The sequence below is a fragment of the Homo sapiens genome, chromosome X (assembly GCF_000001405.40).
Source record: "Homo sapiens chromosome X, GRCh38.p14 Primary Assembly".
In the NCBI taxonomy this organism is placed as follows: Eukaryota; Metazoa; Chordata; class Mammalia; order Primates; family Hominidae; genus Homo; species Homo sapiens.
In genome coordinates this window covers 34,474,043-34,482,906 of record NC_000023.11, presented here as the reverse complement: position 1 = coordinate 34,482,906, position 8,864 = coordinate 34,474,043, and the positions used below count along the sequence as shown (strand labels likewise).

Below are 8,864 nucleotides of genomic sequence, written 5' to 3'. Positions count from 1 at the left end.
TAACATCGTAATGGTGGTTTGTACGTGACCACCATTATTCTTCAGTATGAAAGCTTCAAAATAAAACTATTAAAAATAAAAATAGCTATTATAATTTCTTAAGGGACATTGCATTAGTCAGGTTTCTCTAGAGGGACAGAACTAATAAGATATATGTATATATGTATATATGAAGGGCAGTTTATTACGGTGAATCAACCCACAAGTTCACAAAGTGAAGTCTCACAATAAGCCATCTATAAGTTGAGGAGCAAGGAAGCCAGTAGTGGCATAGTCCAAGTCCCAAAACCTCAAAATTAAGGAAGCTGACTGTGCAGCCTTCAGTCTGTGGCCAACGGCCTAAGAGCCCCTGGCAAAACACTGGTGTAAGTCCAAGAGTCCAAAGCCAGCGAACTTGGAGTCTGATGTTTGAGGACAGGAAGCATCCAGCACAGGGGAAAAATGAAGGCTGGAAGACTCAAAAAATCAGCTTCTTCCACTTTCTTCTACCTGCTTTTTCTAGCTGTGCTGGCAGCTGGTTGGATGGTGCCTCCCCCCCCCCCCCAACGCAACATTGTGAGTGGGTCTTCCTGAGGCGGGGGTCTTCCTCTCCCAGTCCACTGACTCAAATGTTAATCTCTGCAGGCAACACCCAGAATCACCCAGAAACAATACTTTGTATCCTTCAAACCAGTCAGTTTGACACTTAATATTAACCATCACAGATACAGAATATAAAAAGACATAAATTGTGACGTAACACATTTTTAATGTGTGAGAAGGTAAAAGTGTAAAGTTTTTGTATGTGATCAAAGTTCAGCTGTTATCAGCTTAAAATAGCCTCTTTTAGCAAGGAGCAACTCACTCTCACCAAAGGCCTCTGGAATCCTGGCAGAAGGATAGCTCATGACCACCGTAGACACTTGAGTTGGCAGGGAGCGCTGCTTAGAGAAGGGGCAAGGGCAGAACTCCAGACAGGGTAGAGCCCAGAGGGTTTGGTGTGGGAGTGTCTATAGTGGAGCACAGGAAGGGACACCTATTTCCCTAGGCTCGACTTGCTGCTATAAGAAACTTTAGCCCAGGGGAACTGTCAGACCTCAACTCTGTAGGGAGGTCTTGCCCGTGAGATGAGGCTGGGCTGAACTGAGCACCCTTCAGTCTGCTTGCCTGTCCCAAGGCCCCAGCCTGGCCATGCCTGCTTGCAGTGCAACCTCAGGTGCACAGGGGAGGAGTACCTCCTGGGGGCCCACATCATACCTCCTGCGCTGGTGGAATGCACCTCACTGGCAGAGAGCTTCAGCAGAGAGGTGCCTGAGGACACACACCAGCCTGCCAGCACTCTCCCTGCACTGCAGCCTTCTCTGTGACAATTTGTCTGCATGCACTTGCCCACAGCCACCCCAAATGACTTTGCCAGTGCATATGTGCACAAAAGGACCTGGCCTCCCCTTCCCTGCCAGCACTTGTGTGCATATGCACTCTGCCGTGCCACTGCTGCAGGTGTGAGTGCACTCTGCTGCCTCCTCACCCCCACTGCACTGGCGTTGCCATAGGAGCATTGGTGGGCATGGAGTACACTAGCCTCACTCGCCAATGTTCTGTCCCAACATTGCCACCAGTGCGAAACTAGGCATGGTGAACAGTGGACCCACCACCTTCACCCACAGCAGCTCCCCCTACAGCAGCCGTTTGAATGGCAACAGAGGGTGCACACAACCCTGTGTCTACCAGCACCTCACCCACATGCTGACACCAACACTGGCACAAATGGTTGCATGGACACTAGCTGGGGCACCCTGCCCCTCTGTGCCATGCTAACATCAACCACTACTGTGAAAGCCTGCACAGAGGCCAGTACCCTAGCACTTGCTAGCACACTGCAGCAGCCAATGGGAGTGCACTCCACTGCACTGCCACCAGCACAAGCAAATGAGAACTGGTCTCGCTGCCACCTCCCTGCTAAGTGCTTTGGGTGGCACCACCCATTGAAGTGTTGTGACCAGTGGCCTGGGAGCACCTTGGCCTCTCTATCACTCCAGGTTCCCAATGTTGAGGGGCCATAGAACAAAGCAAGGACTGAATAACATTCACCCAGAGTTAAAGCATGCAGTCCAGGATTCTTGAGCTGAGCCTTATCTCCTGACTAAAAGATTTCAGAAATAAAGTCAGTCGACTGAACCCACCTTATATCACTATCAAACCACCAAGGGAATCAAATAGAATAAAGAGGAAAAATAAACATCAAAGGAGGGCAACTTCAAAGACTGAAGGACCGTCAGCCCACAAAGATGAGAAAGAACCAGTACAAGAACTCTGACAACTCAAAAAGTCAGAGTGCCTTCTTTCTTCCTAATGACCATACTAGCTCTACAAGAAGGGTTATGAACTAAGCTGAGATGGCTGAAATGACAGAAATAGAATTCAAAATATGGATAGGAATGAAGATTATTGAGATTCAGGAGAACATTGAAACACAATTCAAGGAAGTTAAGAATCACTGTAAAATGATACAAGACCCAAGAGACAAAATAGCCTATAAAGAAAAGGATGTAACTGACCTGATAGAAATGAAAAACACACTACCAGAATTTTATAATGCAATCACAGATATTACCAGTAGAATAGACCAAGCTGAGTAAATAATCTCTGAGCTTGAAGACTGGCTTTCTGAAATAAGATAGCCAGATAAGAATAAAGAAAACAGAATAAAAAGCAATGAACAAAACCTCTGAGAAATGTGGGATTATGTAAAGAGTCTGTATCTGTGATTCATCGGCATTCCTGAAAGAGATGGGGAGAATGGACGACATTTGAAAAAGACATTTAAGGAAATCATCCATCAGAATTTCCCAAACCTAGCTACAGAGCCCAACATTCAAATTCAGAAAATGCAGAAAAACTCTGCAAAATAATTCACAAGAAGATCATCCCCAAGACACATAATCATCAGATTCTTTAAAGACAAAATTAAAGAAAAAATGTTAAAGGCAGCTAGAGAGAAAGGACAGGCCACCTACCAAGGGAAGCCCATGAGACTATCAGTAGACATCTCAGCAGAAACAGTACAAGCCAGAAGAGACGGGAGACTTACATTAAATTTTATTAAAGAAAAAAAATTACAATTCGGAATTTCATATCCAGCCAAACTAAGCTTCATAAGAGAAGAAGAATTAAGATCCTTTTCAGATAAGCAAATGTTGAAGGAATTCATGACCACCAAACCTGCCTTACCAGAGTTTCTGAAAGAAGCACTAATTATGGAAAATAAAAACCATTACCATCCAATATAGAAACACTTAAGTACACAGACCAGTGACACTATGAAGCAACCACACAAGAAGTCAGAATAGTAAACAGCTAACAACATGATTACATGATCAAATCCACACATTTCAATAGAAACCTTGAATGTAAATGGGCTAAATGCCCCATTTAAAAGGCACAGAGTGGCAAGGTGGATATAGAAGCAAGACCAAAGGCCATGCTATCTTCAAGAGACCCATCTCACATGCAATGACACCCATAGACTCAAAATAAAGGGATGAAGAAAATCCAACAAAGAAAATGGAAAACAGAAAAAAAGTAGTAGTTGCAATCCTAATTTCAGACAAAACAGTCTTTAAACCAACAAAGATCAAAGACAACAAAGAAGGGCATTAAATAATGGTAAAAGGTTCAATTCAACAAGAAGACTTAACTATTCTAAATATATATACACCCAACACAAGAGTACCCAGATTCATAAAGCAAATTCTAAGAGACCTTGAAAGAGGCTTACACTCCCACACAACAATAGTGGGAAACTTCAACACCCCACTGAGTGCATTATATAGATTATCAAGGTAGAAAATTAACCAATATATTTAGGACCTAAACTCAACACTGGACCAAATGGACCTGATGCATGTCTATGGAACTCTCCACTCCAAAACAATGAATATACATTCTTCTCATTGTTACATGGTACATATTCTAAAATCAACCACACTTTGGAGATAAAACTATCCTCAGCAAGTGAAAAAGAACTGAATTCACACCAAACACTCTCTCAGACCACAACACAATAAAAATAGAAATCCAGACTGAGAAAATTGCTGAAAACCGTACAATTACATGGAAATTCAACAATCTACTCGTGAAAGACTTTTGGGTAAATAATAAAATTCAGCCAGAAAACAAGAAGTTGTTTGAAACTAATGAGAACAAGGATAAAACATAGCAGGATCTCTGGGACACAGCTAAGGCAGTGTTAAAAAGGAAATGTATAGCATTAAGCACTCACATTAAAACATTAGAAAGATCTCAAATTAACAACCTAACAGCATAACTAAAATAACTAGAGAAACCAGAGCAAAGCAACCCCAAAGCTAGCAGAAGACAAGACAGAACCAAAATCAGAGCTGAACTGAAGGAGATTGAGGACCAGGAAATCATTAAAAAGATCAACAAAGCCAGGAGCTAGATTTTTGAAAAAAAAAATGATAGGTTGCTAGCTAGATTATAAAGAAAAAAAGATGGAAGATCCAAATAAACATAATTAGAAACGATAAAAGGTTTGCCACTACTGACCCAACAGGAATAAAAATCACCATCAGATACTACTTTGGACACCTCTATGAGCACAAACTAGAAAATCTAGAAATAATGAATGAATTCCAGAAAACATAAAGTCTCCTAACACTAAACCAAGAAGAAATTGAATCCCCAAACAGACCAATAATGGGCAACAAGATTGAATCACTAATAAAATAGCCTATGGACCTAAAAAAGCCCAGGACCAGATGGATTCATAGCCAATTCTACGATGTAGATGTATGATGTAAATGTATGATGAAAAGCTGGTACAACTCCTACCAAAACTATTCAAAAAAATTCAGTGGGAGAGACTCCTCCTCAACTCATTATATGAGACCAGCATCATCCTAATACGAAAAGCTGGTGGAGACACAACAAAAAAGAAAACTTCAGGCCAATATCCTTGATGAACATTGATGGAAAAATCCTCAACAAAATACTGGCAAACCAAATCCAGCAGCACATCAAAAGGCTAATCAACCATGATCAAGCAGGCTTTATCCCTGGGATGCAAGGTTGTTTCAACATATGCAAATCAATAAATGTGATTCATCACATAAGTAGAACTAAAGACAAAAACCACATGATTATCTTAATAGATGCAGAAAAGGCTTTCAATAAAATTCAACATTTCTTTATGTTAAAAACTCTTCACAAACTAGGCATTGAAGAAACAAACCTCAAAATAATAAGAGCCGTCTATGACAAACCCACACCCAATATCATGCTGAATGGTCAAAAGCTGGAAGCATTCTCCTTGAAAACTGGCACAAGACAAGGATGCCCTTTCTCATCATTCTTATTCAACATATTATAAGTTCTGTCCAGAGCAATCAGGCAAGAGAAAGAAAGAAAGCGCATCCAGATAGAATGAGAGGAAGTCAAACTATCTCGGTTTAGAGATGACATGATTCTATATCTAGAAAATCACATAGTCTCAGCCCAAAAGTTCCTTAAGCTGATAACTTCAGCAAATTTCAGGATACAAAATCAATGTACTGAAATTACTAGCATTCTTATACACCAACAATAGCCAAGCTCAGAGCCAAATCAAGAATGAAATCCCATTCACAATTGCCTTAAAAAAATAAAATACTTACAAATACAGCTAGCAATGGATGTTAAAGATCTCCACGATGAGTATTACAAAACACTGCTCAAAGATATCGGGGTGACAAAACCATGGAAAAACTTTCAATGCTCATGGACAGGAAGAATAAATATTGTTAAAATTGCCATGCTGTTTAAAGCAACTTACAGATTCTATTCTATTCCTTAAAATAAATTCATGAAACTACAAAACATTTTAAAATTTATATGGAACCTCAAAAGAGCTTGAATACCCAGGGCAATCCTAAGCAAAAGGAACAAAGCTGGAAGTATCATATACTTGACCTCAAATTATACCCCAGAGCTATAGTAACCAAAACAACATGGTACTGGCACAAAAACAGACACATAGAACAAAGGAACAGAATGGAGAGCCCGGAAATAATTCTGCAAACCTACATACATCTGATCTTCCACAAAGCAGACAAAACAAGCAATGAGGAAGTGACACACTATTCAATAAATGGTGCTGAGATAACTGGCCAGCCATAAGCAGATGACTGAAACTGGACCCCTTACTTACACTATGTACAAATATCAACTCAAGATGGATTAAAGACTTAAAGGAAAACTCAAAACTATAAGAACCCTGGAAGACAACCTAGGCAATACCTTTCTGGACTTAGAAACTGGCAAAGATGTCATAATGAAGACGCCAATAGCAATTGCAACAAAGACGAATATTGCCAAATGGGCCCTATTATACTAAAGAGCTTCTTCACAGCAAAAGAAACTCTCAATAAGCAGACAACCTACAGAAAGCAAGAAAATATCTGCAAACTATGCATCTGGCAAAAGTCCAATATCCAGCATCTATAAGAAACTTAAACAAATTTACAAGAAAAAAAAAATCAAACAACCCCATTACAAATGGGCAAATGACATGAACAGATATTTTTCAAAAGAAGACACAGGTGCAGCCAGCAAGCATATGGAGAAAAGCTCAATATCACAGATCATTAGATACATGCAAATAAAAACCACAATGAGATAACACCTCACATTGATCACAATAACTATTACTAAAAAGTCAAAAAATAACAGATTCTGATGAGCTTGTGGAGAAAAGAGAACGCTTACACACTGTTGGTGAGAGCGTCAATGAGTTCAACCATTGTGGAAAGCAGTGTGGCACTTCCTGAAAGATCTAAAAACAGAACTACCATTCAACCCAGCTATCCCATTACTGGGTATATACCCTCAGGAATATACATTGTCCTACCATAAAGACACGTGCACGTGACAAACACATAGATTCAACCTAAATTCCCATCAATGGATGACTGGATAAAGAAAATGCGATACATATACCTCATGGTATACCATGCAGCCATAAAAAAGAACAAGATCATGTCCTTTGCAGGAACATGGATGGAATTGGAGACCACTATCCTTAGCAAACTAATGCGGGAACAGAAAACCAAAACTACATTTTCTCACTTATAAGTGGGAGCTAAAGGGTGAGAACATATGGACACAAAGAGAGGCACAAGAAACACTGGGGACTACTTGAAGTTGGAGGGTAGGAGGAGGAAAAGGATCAGAAAAAAATAACTATGGGGTACTAGTCTTAGTACTTGGGTGATGAAATAATTGGTACAACAAACCCCCATGCCACGAGTTTGCCTATATAACGGACATGCACATGTACCCCTGAACTTAAAAAGAAAGTGTTTTTTTCTAATGTGGCCTTTTTAAACTATAAGGTTTTTTTGTTTATTTTTATTTATTTTATTTATTTATTATTTATTTATTTATTTTAATCCTTGTGGTAACCACAAAGCAAAGACAACAATAGAGGAAGAAAAGAACGAAGTGTCTACAAATCAATCAGAAAACAATTAACGAATGACAATAGTAATTACATTGAATGTAAATGGACATAGGGTGACATGAGGTAACATCCCTCATTATCAGGAATAGGTAGTTCCTTCATACATTATTTCCACATTATATAAATTACTCAGATAATTGTCATTACGATGATGCTTTAGATTTGTTTGAAGTCCACTGTTTTGATATAAAGAGCAATTGGCCTATATTCTTCCTCAAACCTTATAAAAATTATTTCATTATTGTTTGCGAAAGTTTGTTGAATGATTGTGTAGTATTACTTCTTTGATAAAGATGAAGTGGAAAAATATAAATGAAGACACTTCCTAGATTCACTCTTGATTTAATTGTTCATTAAAATAACCTCGTATTGGACGTGTGTTTTATTCTTAAAAAATTGGCAAACTGCTAATACATCTCACTTAACTGGGCCAAGTACATGTCTCATTTAACTTTGACTCCCCAGCACCAACTCATTTATTAAGAACAAATGCTTGTTGAATTAAACAGCCAAAGAGCAGACACATGAAATTAAATTTGTGGTTAGTAAGATAGGCCAGACTGAAACACTGCTCTTGTGAAGAAGCATTTTTAATCATCTTGTTATTTTCAGGCATAAAATAATCATTTATAAAAATGATTACATATTTTCCATATTAAGAAAATAGTAGTTTTCTGTTATGTTAATGGCTGCTTGGGAATAAAATAAGTACTTTACCAAATTCATTGGAATTATAAGAATATAAGCATACCTGGAAGTAGCTATGAGGATACATTTAAATTAAAGCAGCTGCAAGAGTTTATGATTTGGTGTCTCCTCATGCCCAATATTGTTTGGGAATAACACAGTTTCAATTTATAGAATTATAACATGCATTTTAGGGCTGGAGAGAAGCTTAACGTGTCCTTTGCTGAACCTAGAGAGGAATGCACTGCAAAAGAATGTCCATCCAAAATTGAATAGTGACATAGAAAATGCTGATAATCTCTACTGGAGGAAAGAGGTGGCATGTAAGATGCTGCATAGTACTTATTTACTTAATGTCTAGATCTTTATTATTAAAATGCTGTGTGGCATATGTGCCTTATTTTTTTTCCCATAGTTTAATGAATTTCGGGGAATTTCAGCATGCTTTGATGAAAGAAGGAGCAGCTACACATTTTCCAAAAAATAAAAATAAATAAATAAAATGCAGGCACTAACTGCTTTTGACCAAAGGGTGTATTACTGGTCAAAATTCAGCAGTGTGTTCTGGAAAATCAAAAGGAACAACTTTCTGCTGATTAGATGAATATATAGGTAGAGGAAGATGAGAATATAAGGTACATGGGAGCCCTGAACCATTTCTCTACTTTAAGTATTGGAT

General features: G+C 38.8%; 1 annotated feature.

Moving 5' to 3' along the window:
- Nucleotides 978–1,477: an enhancer, noted in NCBI's record as "H3K4me1 hESC enhancer chrX:34499547-34500046 (GRCh37/hg19 assembly coordinates)". NCBI's record gives its function as "activates a minimal SCP1, AML or CMV promoter by ChIP-STARR-seq in naive H9 embryonic stem cells {active_cell/tissue: H9 hESC(naive)}" and the evidence as "EXISTENCE:reporter gene assay evidence [ECO:0000049][PMID:30033119]".